The sequence below is a fragment of the Homo sapiens genome, chromosome 10, assembly GCF_000001405.40.
Source record: "Homo sapiens chromosome 10, GRCh38.p14 Primary Assembly".
NCBI lineage: Eukaryota > Metazoa > Chordata > Mammalia > Primates > Hominidae > Homo > Homo sapiens.
Genome location: NC_000010.11, coordinates 57,780,302 through 57,799,859, shown reverse-complemented (window position 1 = coordinate 57,799,859; position 19,558 = coordinate 57,780,302). Strand labels below are relative to the sequence as shown.

At 38.3% G+C, this 19,558-nt stretch overlaps 1 long non-coding RNA gene across 1 annotated transcript in view, besides 1 other annotated feature; it reads left to right on the top strand.

Annotated features, from left to right (window-relative positions):
* The window catches only part of LOC105378314 (uncharacterized), a 147,384-nt gene that overhangs the window by 47,517 nt on the left and 80,309 nt on the right, over positions 1 to 19,558 (top strand). The window lies entirely within an intron of this gene.
* Positions 12,246 to 12,825: an enhancer, noted in NCBI's record as "OCT4-NANOG-H3K27ac hESC enhancer chr10:59546795-59547374 (GRCh37/hg19 assembly coordinates)". NCBI's record gives its function as "activates a minimal SCP1, AML or CMV promoter by ChIP-STARR-seq in naive H9 embryonic stem cells {active_cell/tissue: H9 hESC(naive)}" and the evidence as "EXISTENCE:reporter gene assay evidence [ECO:0000049][PMID:30033119]".

Sequence of the window (19,558 nt, the reverse complement as noted above, 5' to 3'; positions counted from 1 at the left end):
GTAGCTATTCCACACCTAAAAGCCTACACAAAGACATGTACACAGTGTTCATAGCTGCTTCTTTCGCAATAGCCCCAAACTGGAAACAACCTAAATGTTCATCAATAGGCGAATGGATAAACAAACTGATATATCCATATACAATGAAGTACTGCTCAGCAATAAAAAGGAATGAGCTCTTGATAAATGCTACAATGGGAAGGATCCCAAAATACTTATGTTGAGTGAAAGAAGCCTACACATACACACACAAACATACACAAAGCACATAGTGTATGATTACATTTCTGTACAATTTTAGTGTTTACTAACTAATATTTAGTGACTGATAGTAGATCAGTAGTTGCTTGTACATGGTGGGAACAAAAAAGGGTGGAATGGAGGAATTATGTCAAAACTTATCACGGTGTGCACACTAAATATGTATAATTCATTGTATGTTAATTACTTAATTACCTCAATAATGCTGCTTTTTCAAAAAAATCTGGGGTAGAAGCATAAATATTTTTAAAAGTCTACAGAAAGCCTTTGCTTTTTAAAGACATTCAAATATAACTATTTGTAAACTTTCTCTAATTATAGATGCATTTAAAAAACAGAAACTTTTCAGAGACTTGATTTTCTGCAAATACTGTATCTGAATCACAAATATACTATCACAAATGGAACAAACAGAGGTCAAAACAGGTCAGGAATTCAAAGCATGCTAATTCAAAATGTAATTTTTGACATTTACTCGAGATAAATATCTTTCCTTCTGCATTCATACAGAATTAAAAATTGACTAGGACAATAGCAAAAACGCCCAAGACTATACTGGAGCTGAAATGTAAAACTAAGGTGGCAAAGGTTCAGTGATTTATGAATACAGTCTGGTTCAGTAAAAGGAGAAGTGAATTAAAGAATCTCAAGCATATAGCTTGCTGAATAATTTCTCACTATAAAATCACTCCATAGACTGAAAATTGACCAACAAGAAATAAACATATCTAGGAAAAGCTAAAAGGAAAATTCGTCCCTCCCTTGTCAGTGTAAGATGATTTCTTACCATGAACTTGCTTTTCTTTGACCCGACGTGGTTTAAAAAAATCTCTATGAATGGATTTTCATTCAGTTTCATTCCAATCACTTCCTTCAGGAATCTCTTAAATTTATAGTTTTGTATGTCATTAAAGTAATGATCTTTAGTATAGTTTTCAATTTTATATAATCAACTTCGCCTCATCTACTGATGGTTTTAGATAAACTTTGGCATTTACACTTTACTGATGTCATCTACCCAGTTGATCAGCATTATCCAGGCTCCCAAGAGCTTCTACTTTTTCCTTTAGCTACCTTCCTTTTGGCTGTTTCTCTGGTGATTTACAGTTTGTGAGTGTGTGTGTGTGTGTATGTATGTACTCTCTCCCTTATTCCTTTAATTTTAATTAAATATGGTAAATGTCACATAGTATGTTGACTTCTTGATGACAGCTTAAAAATTATTTAATAGGGAGAAGGTAAGAAGACTAACTAATATGGGATTAGTGTTTCTCTGCAGTTCATTTATTTTGCAGCTTGCCTTTTCCCACATATGGGCTTAATTTCTGATTGGTCTTAATTTTTAGAAACTATTCATATTTGCCTTAAGAAATCATCATCATTTCTTTATATTAATCAGCAAGTATTCTGTCTTCTGAAACTTTCTGCATTGCACCTACAGACCAACATCCCATTACCAAGGAAGTTACAGTTGCTTCCTAAGTGACAGGGTAATTATCCTATGGTGCTTTTGTTGTGTGCTAACAACAAATATGGGTAGTGGTTTAGAGTCAGTGGTGAGAAAGTACATGGCAAAAGGTGGTCAATGAAATATGTATTTATTCATTAGTTTCACCAGAAAAATATCTGTTGTATACACTTTAGGTGGGATAAATATTATTCAGAAAGGCTGATAAATACTCTTGGTATCACCACAATGAGGTGAGGGCTAAAATGAATCAGTCTTTTCTGTAATGATCTTATGATTATACGTGTGTTTCCAATACCCTGTAGGACTACAATCAGAAAGCACGAATGCTGGGGACAGTCAGAAATTATCTGGGTATTTCAGACTGTGGCAGCACTCCAGCTATTCAAGCATATTAATCTATCTTGGGACATAAAATAAACTTCGATTTTCAGTATAATAAAGTAATTAAGCCTGATATTTCCTTTATATTGTGTTAGGTAACAAATATATCTTTTACAACTGTTTTCTTCCAGTGTCACAGAAGTTTATCCTGAGTGAAAATACTTTCAACGTACTCTCATGAGTGACAGAAAATCTGTAAACTAAATCTGTACTTAAATTGTTGGCCAATGAGGGGCCCCAAAACATATAGAGACCTTCAATATCTGCTGTAGAAATTGACTTCCTGGTCTAACCCTTATGAACCAGTAGAGGTGAAAAAAGATTCTTCCATTTGGCTCATGATCATGGTTTTATAAAGTTTTGTTTTTGATAAACTAGTGAGTATAATTTTGTGGTTAAAATGTGCTGTAATGAGTCTGAGAGAATTTGAAAAGGGCTTCAAAATTTCAATTTTATCAAAAAAAGTGGATGAAGGGTCAATACATTATAAATAGAATGCTCTTAGCATTTGACAGTTCTCACTGTGACAATTTTCTTTTTTTTCAAATTTGTTGTTTTAAAAAAAAATTTTACAGAGCATGTATCATTGCATCACCTAGGCTGGAGTGCATTGGTGTCATCACAGCTCACTGGAGCCTCAAACTTGGCTCAACTCATCCACCTGCCTCAGCCTCCTGAGTGGCTGGGACTACAGGCATGTGCCACAATGTCTGCCTAAACACTGATAATTTCTCAGCTGTCCTCCTTTTCCTCCCCTCCTTCTTCTTCTATATAGCAAAAATATATAAAAAAAAAAGATGGAGAAATGATATACCATACTTCCAAGATGGGTATTTTTTTTGTGGATATACCATTATTCTACATCTTAATAGGCTGTATTATTGAATGCTAGTGAGCCCATTTATGTTTTGGAAACAGAATAAAATTCCATTATAATATAGCTTACCTATATTTATAATTATAATAGTTGCTAAATTATATATATTTTATATAAATATTATATAAATTATATTTTATATAATATTTTATATATTTTATATATTTTATATAAATATTATATAAATTATATATAATTATAATAGTTGCTAAAATTCACTGAGTGGTTAAAATATGCCACATCCTGTTCTAAGCACCTTACATATGTTAACTTACATAATTCTCTCAATGGTTCTATGGAATAATTGCTATTATTTTCTTTACAAATTAGAAACTGAGGTTCAGAAAATTTGAGAGATTTTGCTATGTTCACATAGCTGGCAAGTAGTGATGTTAGCAGTGGCAAATCTGTATGGGTCTGCAGCAACCTCAATTCTTGCCTCCTCAGAAGAAAGAATTTGACTGAGGGGCATAAGGTAGAGGAAAAGACCAAGGCAAGTTTTAGAGGAGGAGGGAAAGTTTATTATGAAGTTTCAGAGCAGGAATGAAAGGAAGTAAAGTACACTTAGAAGAGGGCCAAGTGGGTGACTTGAGAGATTCAAATGCATGGTTTGACCTTTGACTTAGGGTTTCATATGTTGGCACACTTCCAGGGGGTTTTGTCCCATCTCCCCTAATTCTTCCCTTGGGGTGGGCTGTCCTGATGCACAGTGGCCTGCCAGCCCTTGGGAGGGGCTGCACATGCAGCATTTACTGAAGTTGTATACATGCTCAATTGAGGTGTTTTTCCCTTACCAGTTGAGTGCTTCCTAGAGGAAGGTTGTATATCAGTTCAACTCTGCCATTTTGCCTCTTAGTGCACATGTTTTAGCTCACTCGCCCTACTACTGATCTTATTGGGAAGCTGCTTATCACCAGATTCAAGTGTTTTCTGTCTGTTGGGAGAATGCCTTTCTCTGGCTCTGGCTGTGACCAGTTATTATTTGAGACAGTTTAGCAACTGCCTGATCATCACCTGATAGTTGTTTGACATTCCTGGTGTTGAGGGTGGAGGGTTCGCCGGCCCTGCTCAAGTCTGACTATTAATACCTGCTATAACAGTGAAGCCCAGATTAAAACCCAGATAATCTGATTGTAATCTTAACCACTAGGGTATGTTGACTCTGTGAGTATACTACAAATGAGGCACTTCCAAACATGGTAATGAAGCAGCTACATTTGTCTGGGGTTTGCCCATCATGCCCCAGGAAAATTTAGGACACAGACACACACAAGGAGTTTAGGAGCAGAGGTTGAATAGGTAGAAGAAAAGAGAAAAAAGAACATCTTTCTTGGATTTGGGTGGCTAGAGTAACTTTAGTGTTAACCTTGGCTAGATGTTTCCTGTCATTATCAATCCCGTCATGACTTTCACAGAAAATCTCTTTCTTTTATAATCTTCTTTGCATAGCTAGGGTGTGAGATATTACCAAACCCAGTAAGAATTTCTAGCAAACTCAGAGATACTAAAACTTTCATGCTTCCTTGTTGTTGGTAGCTATTATCCCTGCTATAAGGATACTAATTAAGCAAAATACCATAGCAATAGGGATGCTCTGTCTTGCAAGGGTGACGTAGTAGATTTTTCCATCAAAATTTTACTTGCCAAGATATAGAATTTCCTTTGGGGCTCTATGAAGTTTCTTGGTTTTATTTTCCCAAAGAAACCTCTGGGTTATGGGCGCCCTTCTTTTTATTATCTGGCAGAATTTGCAGGATAACTGCCTAGAACTAGCATATTGATCCATATTTTTACATTATCCACCCCTTTTTGTTTCTTCTAAGCTGCAGCAGATCACCACTTGATTCAAAGGAATAAGCAGGGTTAGTCTAAAATGTAGGCAAAAAGCTTAAAAACAACTAATGAGACTAGGATTTAATGACAAATGTGTAATAAGCTTTGGAGAATACTTTCTCTAGTCCTCATTTTTGGTAAAAAAAACAAATTATGATAGGACTGTGTTGTTCATAGAATAAACTTGAGTCTTATACTTGGTCTGATTATTTGCATAAAGTGTAGTGAGAATGGTTATTTATACGTAGGTCTTTTGGATTGGCCTTGATGGAACTCTGTTCCACAAGGAATCTCAGATAAGACCTTTTAAAGCCGAGCCCAGCCGTGGGTTTTTATCCTCAAATACCTGTGAGTTGGGTGACCCTTTTCTCTTAGTGTTCCAAGATAAACTTGGAGCTCCTGGACCTGTTAGGAAGTGAAATTCTTTGCTGACCACAGGTTAGAAACCCTGTGCAGAGACTGTGTAGGCAAGGTATGAGGCCAGTTATCCCCATGGAGCTTTTATCTGCTCTGCACATCCAGCTTGATTCCTTAAAGGGAAATGCATCCTTCCAGTCAAAGCCTTTGTAAAATAATCAGTTTTTCCAGTTGTGTCCTGTTGAAAAACAAAAATGGACTCTTATTGGACTGATGCAAACAACTATATTGCCATAAGTTAAGAGTACCACAGATAGCTTCCAAATTCCAGAGGTACCAGGCAGAGAGAAACAAATATGCTCCAAATTTTATTTACAGGAGTATACCTTACTCAATTATTAAAGGCTGTAAATAATTCAAAATAAGTTTCCTTGACTCTGAAAAACAAAACAAGGATCAGCAATATTTCAAGCAATATTCAAAAAGTTTGCTTTAATTTCTGAGTGCAGTCCATTTAGTTAACCTTGTTTTGCTTGACATTTGTGAACATTTCAGTTCTTCGTGAGTTGCATACGTTGTTTCTCTATTCCAATGTTACAATCTTCAAAGCTATTAAAAACCTGCATTTGCTAAGACCTGTTAAAGTCTTATAGCTTGATTATAACCAATCTTTTGAGAAGGAACAAAGCAGACAACGATTGTCTGTGAATGACAAAATTTCCACGATAGTTACAGTTGAAAACATGACTGACAAAGAAGTTTAGTTATCTCTGTGGCTTACAATAACTTCACCCTTGATTATGATTGAGAGCATATATTCAGACATCAGAATTTTAGAAATCCCATATAATTTTGGAACATATATTAGAATTGTTCACCAAAATATAACTTAAAGAAGATTGGATATCATTTTGGCAATCTCATGTGACTAAACGTGTCAAATAATCCTGGTCACCTCTTTTCTGAATGTTTCAGGGGCCCTCTGAACCATCCAGAAAGCCAGGCATTAGAAAAGACAATTTTGAAACTTAAAGTTTGCTTCTGGGGCACTTATTAAATGTTAGAGGTTTAAAACGCTTGATTTTATGAAATAGAATTCCATGTTGCCATAAATTATTTATTTGGCCAAAATCACGACTCAAAAGATAAATACCTTTTATTAGCCTTCATTATGACATGAAAATCCTGTTCAAAGCCAAATTTTACCCTTGCATTAGTTTATGAATGTTAATCCCAATTTGTTTAAATGAAACCCTACAGATGATTCCACCTAATCTTACCAATTTGACCACGAGGTGAAATCTTTACAAAACCTTTATAACCCTTTTTGATAAAGGGCAGATTAGCATTTTTGGACGACCTTGCTGTGCTTTTATTTCAATGCTCAATTTATGGAAAAGACCATATAACATCCTTTTGAATTTAGTTAATGCTTACACATTTTTGCAAGATTAATTTTTACAATCTTTCTGTAACTTGCTTAAACCTCTAGCTTTATCTTATCAAATTTAACATAATCCCTCGTTCCCTGGGCAAAATTTACATTCCCATGCTTTCTTATATTCTTTTACTAAAAAGACATAGCTTACTGTTATTATGCTCCTTGCATGTAATACTATTTAGTGATCTCAAATACATGTTGCACTGTTAACTCATAGCAACTTGTATGTTTGGTGAAAAACCTGGTTAGTAAGTGATTTTAATTATGTACCAGCTATGGAGCCTAGGACCCAGACAGAAGTACCAATAAGGCCTGACTCCTTCCAGCATCTAACTCCATGTGTCCCAGGCCTTACCTATCTGTAAAGCAGGCCGTATACAACCTTAACACATTTAGCAAAGCTAGTATCTAATTGTATGATTTAGACCACCTATTTGCATTTTGATGGCACTTGCATTTTACCAATAATCCTTAAGACTATTTTTATTTCTTAAAGATTAAAGTCACTTAAATGAAAACATATTTGATTTAAGTGCTTGTTTTTCTTTAAGCCAATTAGAGCTCTTTTTATAGACATTACACACAACACACATATAGTGACACAAACAGACAGAAGATTCAGCATTTGTAAGATTTTTCATTTGCCAGTTTCTTAATTGGATTATTGGCTGCAGGGTGGAGCCCTTGGAGGAACAGGGCCAGGAAGGAATGCATTTCTAGGGCGTAATAAGTAGGCACAGCTGAAGACAAAGACAGATTCCCCAAAATTAAGGGTGCCTTTTTATACAGGATTTTGGATCCCCAAAGGGAAGGAGATACTATGGAAGAAGACGGTCAGTGCTTCTACCATGTATTTCATTGCAAGGCAACCTAAAGCCAGTTGGCTTATCCCTCAGTTGGAGGTGGGGATGTTTCCATATCTTTCAGGTGGCCAAGAGCATGCTTCTCTGATTTATAACTACTATTAGCCATCCCTTAAAATGTATTTCCTACCTAGTTTTTATACACCAAAGCTCCCTCTTAATGTGAGGTAACTTGTTATCTCCAAAACTCAAAACTGTTAGATAACACAATGCAAAACAGAAAAGAACCTTTGGTTTTGAGAGGGAACTATCCACTTTTAATTCCTGGGGTCTCATGAGGAAAACAGAGGTGTTTTTTTTTTTTTCCCCCCAGAATGGGGTCTATGGCGACTCCTTTGTTTTTCCCAAGGAGTCCCATGCTACCAGAAGTTATCTTAGGCCCTCTCACACATGCATTAAGAGTGGCAAGAAAAAAACAGAAAAAAAAATTCATTTGACTAAGAAAAATATACCTATAACTTGAATGTCCACTTTTAATTAAGCTGAGCACTCTTTAAGAAAATCCTTTTAAATCCCTTGTTACTCAACTTTAGCCACACCAAGCTGTTAAGATTTTCAGCTTTTGAACGTTACAAAAAGTGACCTCACAGGTGAAACCAACAAGCCTTAATTAGGTTATGACTTAACAATGAGTGTACAAGGTATTTTCAAAGAGATGAAAGGCAGCTTTTGAAACCATTATTGCAAAATTATGACTGAGATATAGTGAAAGAGATCCAACCCAACCAACTCCATTTTGTTTCCAACCCCCAAGCTGTCCTTGCTTATCCCTGGTTGTAGGCCAAACCAACTTTGGGAGGACCCTGGTTTACAGTTTATAGTCCAAAACAAAGACGATAACAGCCCCTTCTTAAGATATATTTCCCTCTTGCCTGGGGACCAGACCAAGTAACTAGCCACAAGATTGGACACCATGGCTTAGGAGTCATGCAGCTGGATGCTAAAAATTTTGACGCTCCTTAAACTGCTCTCAAGATCAGTGCTTAAGATATTTTGTAAACCTTGCCCTTGATGGAACAGCTGACACCATCCAGATCAACAAACTAGCTTATCTGATTTTGTGGCCCCTATTCAGGAACTGACTTAGCATAAGGAGATGGCAACCATTGTAAAATGGTACAGACTAAAACAAAGTATTGCCATGTGGTTACAGGTCATGTTGCCAAGCACATGAAACAAGATGGAGGCCTATAGCCATGTTTGTTACTGGCCGTTTTGTTGGGTTGGCTTGATCAGCAGGCTTATGGGGTCCTGGGCCTGCATCCTAACGTAAGGTACTCCTTCTTTTGACAGAACCATACAGAAAGACACATGAAGCACAACAGACTGGCTACAGCTTAAGACCAACCTCACAAATCTTTTTTTATTACAATTTTACAGAGAATATAAACAATGATCCTTATTATCCCTTTTTCCAGTTTGCGTGGGTAGAGAGAAGCCAAAACTTGGCTAGTTAAAAAAACAAACAAACATAACCTTTTACCTTTTTGCCAGCATGTCAGGCCTCTGGGTTCCCTTCCCCCAGCTCAACTCTAAGCCAAGCATTTTAAGGTTTGGGGAAATTCACTTCTCCTAGTTTGGAGGAACATTATAAAAGAAGAGATAGGAGCCATTGTAAACCTTGAAAGAAGGAAAAACACCATAGAAAAGTCTGGGGGCACCAATTAGGGTCATCAAGAGGTACTGCCTCTCTTCCTATTGGGAATGGTGTTTTTCTTATTTGTTTCCCTTCCTCATTTTCTTTTTCCTTTCAGGCCTATTATAGGAGACATATTGCTCACCCTTCACGAGAGGTCAAACACCTGAGTTAAATTTTGGAAAGCTTCTATATACCTATCAGGATCTTCAGAAAATCAGACTAAGCCTCCTTTTATTTGCCTAAGGACCTGCAATGAGAAGGGAACTTGAACCCTAGTGGCATCACCTCCATTGGGAATTTCCTATAGGGGTAAGAGCAAAGGTAGGGGAGTGGGAAATTTTGGATATGGTGGAGGTGGAAAAGCTGGTGGTGTGGTTTGAGGTGACTCCAGATAAGAGGGGCTTGAAGGGCTGGGACACCCAATAGCTGTCTCAGATGGTTGCCTTGGAAGTTGCTTTTCTAATTTTTGGGGAATTGTTCTCTTTGGGCCTGCCTGATCTGATTGCTAAAAGGCCTGAGTTGATTTTGTAATGCTTGCAAAGATCTGGTAAAAAGGCTATGCCCTCGTGCAAAAGAAAATGAGCCACTTTTGTCTTTAAAATCTCAGGGTCAAAGGAGTCCTTGTGCTTCATAATGCACTCCAGGGGAGTACAGGCTGAAGATGGTACCTATCTAGAAAGAAAAGCAAGAAAAATGAGTCCCTTTAGTCTCCTTCCTTTTGGTGTGGCCCAGGGTAAAGAGGAAAACAGTGGGGGTATCCCTCTTGCTATTTTGCCTCTGTGTTTCCTGGGTCCTGGCACCTTGTTGAACATACCACCCATGGTTTCAGGGATAACCCCCAGCCATGGAACCAGAGGAAGTAAGTGATTGGCGTTAATCATGCTCATGCAAGTGGCTCTAGTTCTCTGCCTGTGATTCTCCTTTGACTTCCTAGACTTGTGTGACCTGCCTGGCTCCCCAAAAACTAGATCTCAAGAAAAACTATATAATAGTTGGGCAAGGCCTCTGTAATGAAGGAGGAGTGCTAGATTGAACTCTATATCCTGCTATTATGGCTTGAGCTAAAGTATTTACCCTTACAGAATGGTTCCTATTAACTTCAGAACTAAAATCACCTTAGTAATTAAGTACCACTCTAATTGGGGGCAGAATAGGTGCCTTAAAAGAACATAGGGACTGAATGACTATTTTCCTGCTGATGGGACAGTATCAAGACTAAGATTTGGCTTCGGAGGATATTTTACTCCTAGTTGTTGAAGGTAGAATTTTCCCATTTACAGAGGCAGCATAAAGCCTGGTTTCTAGTAGAGAGGACCAGAAAGAGAAGGGAATTGGAAAGCTAGGTTGTTTTGGTAAAGGACCAAAAACGTGCCTCTTGGAGAGGATCCCTATTCCACTAAGTGGAGTTGTTGGCCTTGAGACACCATGAGCTCTCCAGACCAAGGGCAGAGAGAGACCTGGAAATGCCATGTGCTTTCCATACCAAGGGCAGAGAGAGGCCTGGAAATGCCATGCGCTTTCCACACCAAGGGCAGAGAGAGATCTGGCAATGCCATATGCTCTCCAGACCAAGGGCTGAGAGAGACAGAGATGCTCACTTGTGGGCGTGGGGAGAACCCTCTGTTCCTAGGAAATCACAAACACAACTTCCCTTGAGTTATATTCCCAGTTACTATGACATTCCCTGATGTTGCTAAACAAGATTACTTTCCTGAACTGTAAAATTTCCCACACATCTTATCCACACAGAGAGGATATGAGATATAAAGGTCATGGACTGGAAAGGAGGAAATTATGATAGGAAAGTTGGAGATCCTGTTGCCAACACTCCGTTGGGGTGGTTGGAGGCTGGAGTCAGTTCAGAAGCCTTTGGATAACACACCTGGGGGTGGCCCTGGCCAGAAATCCTGAGTTGCCCCAGGACTTCTTCCAGTCGCATGCAACAGCTAAGTCCTCAGTGAAAGGTCTAAAATGGAGGCCGAGAGCCTCTGAATGAAAGGACAGAGTTGGAGTCCGCTCCTCTACTCACCATTTCAATGAATGTTGTACCTTAGTATCCCGGACAAACCCCCATTATGAAGTGGCTATGCTGTTTGGAGTATAAAACTGGGTTCATTGTCATGCTCTGGGAAAATTTAGGACACAGACACACATGAGGAGTTTAGGAGCAGAGGTCGAATAGGTAGAAGAAAAGAGAAAGAGAAACAGCTTCTTCTATAGAGGAAGGGATCTCTGAGCAGAGAGAGGACCAGCTGGCAATGAATGCACTGAGTTTTATAGTCCATTTGAGGAGGCAGTGTCTGATTTATGTAAGACTCGCAGATTGGGTTGATCAGGTATGACGTTCACATAGCACTCAGGGAAGGCTGATTGCCTCACCCTAATCCTCTTATGCAAATGGGGCTTTCTAGTTGATCAGCACCACCATCTTGTCTGTTTCTTATAATACACATGGCTGGCAGAGAAGGGAAGATAGAGCCGCCATTTTGAAAATGTCTAGTCCTTAGTTCCTGCTGGCATTCACCTGTGCAAGCTCCCAGTTTGCTAGAAAATACTGTTTGCTAGAAAATGATTTGGGGCTGCTGTTTGTTAAAAGTAAAAGCCTTAATGAGGACTCCCATACCCTTGGTATCTGCCCAAGTAATTCCTTCTTAAGTCCTATATCAGTAAATAAATACAAGGGAAATACAGTACAGTACTTATTAAATCAGCCAACAATTGTTACATTGCTAAGCAAGTAATAAGCTTGTCTGAATTGTGCTTTAATATATTTTAAAGGGATTTCATTGCAACTCATTAAACTAATTTGAATATTTTGAACATTGCTTAGAAGGTAATTCATTTCTATTTCAACCAGACTGAAAACATTGCTAAAATAATATGCTTAGTTATAAGTTTTTCAAATCTATTGTTAGTTCAGTCTGGAAGAGCATAGTCTAGTCTGGAAGTGCAGTGACAAATTATTCAGAATTTAAACAATGGGTCTTTGGCATTTTTATTAGTTATGTCAAAAATCACTAAAGAATTGACTTGATCTTTGCAAATCTGTGTCTACCTTGTTACTTGCTCTTGCTTTTGTTGTTATTATGATTCAGTCTCTTGGCTGTCCAAAGGCTCACTGAAAAATCACTGACATGAAGTAGATAGTAGGATAAAAGGCATAAAAATTTATTTAACATATATATGTGGAAGACTTCACAATGAAGGCTTAACTTCCTAACGAGGTAGATAAGCTTATATACCATCTTGAAGTTATAGAAACAACAGGGCTTGAATCCTGGTAAAATAGGTTATGGGTAAAATAGGAGTGTTGAGGGGATTACTAGGGAGAATGAATGAATCCAGAATCAGAGATTAACTTGCAAATAGTTCTCTTTGGAATGTAAATGATTCTTGAGATAGTCATTATACTTGTAAAAGAGCCTGTGCAGCTGTGGCTGTAGTCTTGGTCTTTTCTGCAATTGATAATGAGATAAGGAGGGAAAGAATAAACAATTGTTCTCCTTGGTCGGTTTGGATATTGGGCAGGTAAATGAACTTCAACAATATTGGAGAGACCATGGGGGTGGGAGGAGGTCAGAGAGACCTGGAGAAGGTAGGTATTTCATTTCTCTTTCAATCAAAGTGAAGAAATTGCTAAAATAGCAAGACACGAGTAGGCAAGGGGAGCCCCTGAGAAAGGAAAAGTCTGGGAAGGCTCATTCCCGAGGGACCACCCAAAATTTGCTTATGAAAGGTTTGCTGGAGTGAGTGAGCACTTAGTCAAATGTGGGTAAGAAGGAAAGGAGGTACATAGGAAGAAAGAAATCCCCCAGAACCCCTCGTAAGATGCCCCAGTAATCGTTCATTCTACTGTTAAAATGTCAGAATATCTCTAGCTACATGCTTATAAAAAGGGCGAAAGGGACATTCCTAAGAAAACCCTGACACCATAAATATAGATTAGAACAGATAAGACAATTTCAAAGAGATACCCAAGCACGCTAGGTATAGATTTGATTGCTACATAACTTTCATGGGGTGGGGATAATGAGCAGGGCCACCATCAGGCAGGAATTCTGTTGATCACCAGCCCTGCACATGCACATTAACCAACAGTAAATTAGGGTCCCACAAGCCTAGGTGAGGCAAAGGCAGGGATTTAAGGCTGAAGCAGGAAAAATTAGACAAAGGAAAGGGTGGAGACTTGAGACAGAAGAAGGAATTTGAAGAAAGTTTGACGTGATTAAACTCCCTGCACAGGTCACTTGGTGCTGTTTTCCTACAGGATCATTCTGCTCCTGCCTTGGGGCACATCTCTTTTTTTCTACAAGAAGCTCTTTAAATGATATTTCTATTCAATAAAATTATCTGCTATCTTTGTCCTGTGTCTTAGTTGAATTTTTTTCTTTCAAGTGTTACCAGAAAGGGGCCCCAATCCAGACCCCAAGAGAGGGATATTGGATCTTGCACGAGAATGAATTTGGGGCAAGTCAATAGAATGAAGTAAAAGCAAATTTATTAGAGAAGCAAAGGAACAAAAGAATGGCTACTCCCTAAACCCTCCGGGCTGCTGGTTGGCTATTTTTATGGTTATTTATTGATCATATGGTAAACAAGGGGGGGATTATTTATGAGTTTTCCAGGAAAGGGGTGGGCAATTCCTGGAACTGAGGTTTCCTCCCACTTTTAGACTATATAGGGTAACTTCCCAACATTGCTGTGGCATTTGTAAACTGTCATGGGCTGATGGGAGTGTCTTTAGCATGCTGATGCATTATAAGTAACATATAATGAGCAGTGAGCATGACTAGAGGTCACTTTAGTAGCCATGTTGGCTTTGGTGGGTTTTTGCTGGCTTCTTTGCCCTTCCTGTTTTACCAGGAGGGTCTTTATGACCTGTATTTTGTGATACCAGTCCCGCAACCTCCTATTTCATCCTGTGACTAAGAATGCCTGACCTCTTGGGAATGTTGCCCAGCAGGTCCTAGCCCCATATTACCCAGCCCCTATTCAAGACAGAGTGGCTTTTGTTCAAACATCTGACACAAGTTAGACAAGAACTGGACATCTGCTCTCTCCAGGAACAAAAATGCCTTTTTTGGGGGTATTGGTTTCTGAGCCCCAACACAGTATTATCATAGGGATTGCAATTCTGACAACCTGTGTGAGGCTGGGCAAATTCATAACCCTTCAACGGCTCAGTTTTCTCATCTTTGAAATGGGAATGAGAGTATGAGTTGATGGAGCAATTGCAGGGATAAATAAAGTAGTGCATAGTATAAGACATTGCTACGATCGTATTCCTGACTCTTAACTTTGATTCTTGCTTATTTGACAAGTGTACTTTCATGGACAGCTCTTACGTAAACTTTTGACTGACCCACATCCATGCACTTGAGATTCTTTGGCACTTGCTTATTTGGCTCTGTAACTCAACCTTTCTACAAATAATGAATGAAAACTGACTGTATTGCAGGCATTTGTGTAAGGTATTTGGAATAAAAAAAATTCTGGTTGTTCCATGACTTTTCCTCTAATTAATTTACTCATTAAAGGATGACTCATTTTTGAAAAGTGTATTTCAGACTGTTCTGGATACAATATTCCAGACAATGAGGACAGGATATCCTTTTGCTCTTATCTCTCTGAATGGTATTCCATTCAGTGAGATGGTGGAGAGATAAATGCTATCTATGTCATTAAGTAACATTGAGGTTAAGTGATAATGAACGACCCTTTATACTCTCATGATTCAAATACATATATTATGACCATTTTAAAAAATTATACTTTAAGTTCTAGGGTACATGTGTACAACGTGCAAGTTTGTTACATAGACACATATGTGCCATGTTGGTTTGCTGCACCCATCAACTCATCATTTACATTAGGTATTTCTCCTAATGCTATCCCTCCCCCAGGCCCCCATCTGGGGACAGGCCAGGCCCTAGTGTGTGATGTTCCTTGCCCTGTGTCCATGTGTTCTCATTGTTTAACTCCCACCTATGAGTGAGAACGCGCGGTGTTTCATTTTCTGTCTTTGTGATAGTTTGCTTAGAATGATGGTTTCCAGCTTCATCCATGTCCCTGCAAGGGACATGAACTTATCCTTCTTTATGGCTGCATAGAATTCCATGGTGTATACGTGCCACATTTTCTTAATCCAGTCTATCATTGATGGACATTTGGGTTGGTTCCAAGTCTTTGCTATTGTGAATAGTGCCACAATAAACATATGTGTTCCTGTGTCTTTATAGCAGCATGATTTATAATCCTTTGAGTATATACCCAGTAATGGTGTTGCTGGGTCAAATGGTATTTCTAGTTCTAGATCTCTGATGAATTGCCACACTGTCTTCCACAATGGTTGAACTAATTTACACTCCCACCAACAGTGTAAAAGCGTTTTTATTTCTCCGCATCCTCTCCAGCATCTGTTGTTTCCTGACTTTTTAATGATTGCCAGTCTAACTGGCTTGAGATGGTATCTCATTGTGGTTTTGATTTGCATTTCTCTGATGGCCAGTGATGATGAGCTTTTTTTCATCTGTTTGTTGGCTGCATAAATGTCTTCTTTTGAGAAGTGTCTGTTTATATCCTTCACCCACTTTTTGATGGTTTTTTTTTTCTTGTAAATTTGTTTAAGTTCTTTGTAGATTCTTGATATTAGCCCTTTGTCAGATGAGTAGATTGCAAAAATTTTCTCCCATTCTGTAGGTTGCCTATTCACTCTGATGAAGTGAAAAAAGTGCAGAAGCACTTTAGTTGAATTAGATCCATTTGTCAATTTTGGCTTTTGTTGCCATTCCTTTTGTTGTTTTAGTCATGAAATCTTTGCCCATGCTTATGTCCTGAATGGTATTGCCTAGGTTTTCTTCTAGGGTTTTTATGGTGTTAGGTGTTACATTTGTCTTTAATTCATCTTGAGTTAATTTTTGTATACAGCGTAAGGAAGGGATCCAGTTTCAGCTTTCTGCATGTGGCTAGCCAGTTTTCCCAGCACCATTTATTAAATAGGGAATCCTTTCCCCATTGCTTGTTTTCATCAGGTTTGTCAAAGATCAGATGTTTGTAGATGTGTGGTGTTATTTCTGAGGCCTCTGTTCTGTTCCATTATTCTATATATCTGTTTTGGTACCAGTACCATGCTGTTTTGGTTACTGTAGCCTTATAGCATAGTTTGAAGTCAGGTAGCATGATGCCTCCAGCTTTGTTCCTTTTGCTTAGGATTGTCTTGGCAATGCGGGCTCCTTTTTGGTTCCATATGAACTTTAAAGTAATTTTTTCCAATTCTGTGAAGAAAGTCATTGGTAGCTTGATGGGCAGAGCATTGAATCTATAAATTACCTTGGGCAGTATGGCCATTTTCACAATATTGATTCTTCCTACCCATGAGCATGGAATGTTCTTCCATTTGTATGTGTACTCTTTTATTTCATTGAGCAGTGGTTTGTAGTTCTTTTTGAAGAGGTCCTTCACATCCCTTGTAAGTTGGATTCCTAGGTATTTTATTCTCTTTGTAGTAATTGTGAATGAGAGTTCACTCATGATTTGGCTCTCTGTCTATTATTGGTGTATAGGAATGCTTGTGATATTTGCACATCGATTTTGTATCCTGAGACTTTGCTGAAGTTGCTTATCAGCTTAAGGAGATTTGGGGCTGAGACGATGGGGTTTTCTAAATATACAATCATGTCATCTGCAAACAGAGACAACTTGACTTCCTCTTTTTCCCAGTTGAATACTCTTTCTTTCTTTCTCTTGCCTGATTGCCATAGCCAGAACTTCCAATACTATGTTGAATAGGAGTGGTGAGAGAGGGCATCTTTGTCTTGTGCCAGTTTTCAAAGGGAATGCTTCCAGTTTTTGCCCATTCAGTATGATATTGGCATGGGTTTGTCATAAATAGCTCTTATTATTTTGAGATATGTTCCATGAATACCTAGTTTATTGAGAGTTTCTAGCATGAAGCATTGCTGAATTTTATCAAAGGCCTTTTCTGTATCTATTGAGATAATCATGTAGTTTTTGTCATTGGTTCTGTTTATGTGATGGATCACATTTATTGATTTGTGTATGTTGAACCAGCCTTGCTTCCCAGGGATGAAGCCAACTTGATTGTGGTGGATAAGCTTTTTGATATGCTGTTGGATTTGGTTTGGCAGTATTTTATTGCGGATTTTCACATTGATGTTCATCAATGATATTGGCCTGAAATTTTATTTTTTTGTTGTGTCTCTTCCAGGTGTTGGTATCAGGATGATGCTAGTCCCATAAAATGAGTTAGAGAGGATTCTTTTTTTTTTTCTATTGATTGGAATAGTTTCAGAAGGAATGGTACCAGCCCTTCTTTGTACCTCTGGTAGAATTTAGCTGTGAATCTACTGGTTCTGGGCTTTTTTTTGTTGGTAGGCTATTAATTATTGCCTCAATTTCAGAACCTGTTTTGGTCTATTCATAGATTCAGCTTCTTCCTGGTTTAGTCTTGGGTGGGTGTACGTGTCCAGGAATTTATCCATTTCTTCTAGATTTTCTAGTTTATTTGCGTAGAGATGTTTATAGTATTCTCTGATGGTAGTTTGTATTTCTGTGGGATTGGTGGTGATATCCCTTTTATCATTTTTTATTGCATCTATTTGATTTTTCTCTCTTTTCTTCTTTATTAGTCTTGCTAGTGGTCTATCAATTTTTTTGATGTTTTCATAAAACCAGCTCCTGGATTCATTCATTTTTTGAAGGGTTTTTTTGTGTCTCTATCTCCTTCAGTTCTGCTCTGATCTTAGTTATTTCTTGCCTTCTGCTAGCTTTTGAATTTGTTTGCTCTTGCTTCTCTAGTTCTTTTAATTGTGATGTTAGGGTGTCAATTTTAGATCTTTCCTCCTTTCTCTTGTGGGCATTTAGTGCAATAAATTTCCCTCTACACACTGCTTTAAATGTGTCCCAGAGATTCTGGTATGTTGTGTCTCTGTTCTCATTGGTTTCAAAGAACATCTTTTTTTCTGCCTTCAGTTCGTTATTTACCCAGTAGTCACTCAGGAGCAGGTTGTTCAGTTTCCATGTAGTTGTGCAGTTCTGAGTGAGTTTCTTAATCCTGAGTTCTAATTTGATTGCACTGTGGTCTGAGAGACAGTTTGTTTTGATTTCTGTTGTTTTACATTTGCTGAGGAGTGTTTTACTACCAATTATGTGGTCAATTTTAGAATAAGGGTGATATGGTGGTGAGAGGAAGGTATGTTCTGTTGATTTGGGGTGGAGAGTTCTGTAGATGTGTATTAGGTCTGCCTGGTCCAGAGCTGAGTTTAAGTCTGGATATCCTTGTTAACCTTCTGTCTCTTTGTTCTAATATTGACAATGGGGTGTTAAACTCTCCCATTATTATTGTGTAGGAGTCTAAGTCTCTTTGTAGGTCTGTGAGGACTTGTTTTATGAATCTGAGTGTTCCTGTATTGGGTGCATATATATTTAAGATACTTAGCTCTTCTTGTTGAATTGATCCCTTTACCATTATGTAGTGGCCTTGTTTGTCTCTTTTGATCTTTGTTGGTTTAAAGTCTGTTTTATCAGAGACTAGGATTGCAACCCCTGCTTTTTTCTTTGCTTTGCATTTGCTTAGTAGATCTTCCTCCACCCCTTTATTTTGAGCCTATGTGCATCTTTGCACGTGAGATGGGTCTCCTAAGTACAGCACACCAATGGGTCTTGACTCCTTATCCAATTTGCTAATCTGTGTCTTTTAATTGGGGCATTTAGCCCATTTACATTTAAGGTTAATATTGTTATGTTTGAATTTGATCCTGTCATTATGATGTTAGCTGGTTATTTTACCCATTAATTGATGCAGTTTCTTCATAGCATCGATGGTCTTTACCATTTGGCATGGTTTTGCAGTGGCTGGTACCAGTTGTTCCTTTCCATGTGGAGTGCTTCCTTCAGGAACTCTTGTAAGTCAGGCCTGGTGGTGACAAAATCTCTCAGCATTTGCTTGTCTATTATTCCTTCGTTTATGAAGCTTAGTTTGGCTGGATATGAGATTCTGGGTTGAAAATTCTTTTCTTTAAGAATGTTGAATATTAGTCCCCACTCTTATCTGACTTGTAGTGTTTCTGTCAAGAGATCTGCTGTTAGTCTGATGGGCTTCCCCTTGTGGGTAACCCGACCTTTCTTTCTGGCTGCGCTTAACATTTTTTCCTTCATTTCAACCTTGTTGAATCTGGCAATTATGTGTCTTGGGGTTGCTCTTCTCAAGGAGTATCTTTCTGGTGTTCTCTGTATTTCCTGAATTTGAATATTGGTCTGCCTTTCTAGGTTATGGAAGTTCTCCTGGATAATATCCTGAAGAGTGTTTTCCAACTTGGTTCCATTCTCCCCGTCACTTTCTGGTACACCAATCAAACCTATATTTTGTCTTTTCACATAGTCCCATATTTCTTGGAGGCTTTGTTCATTTCCTTTC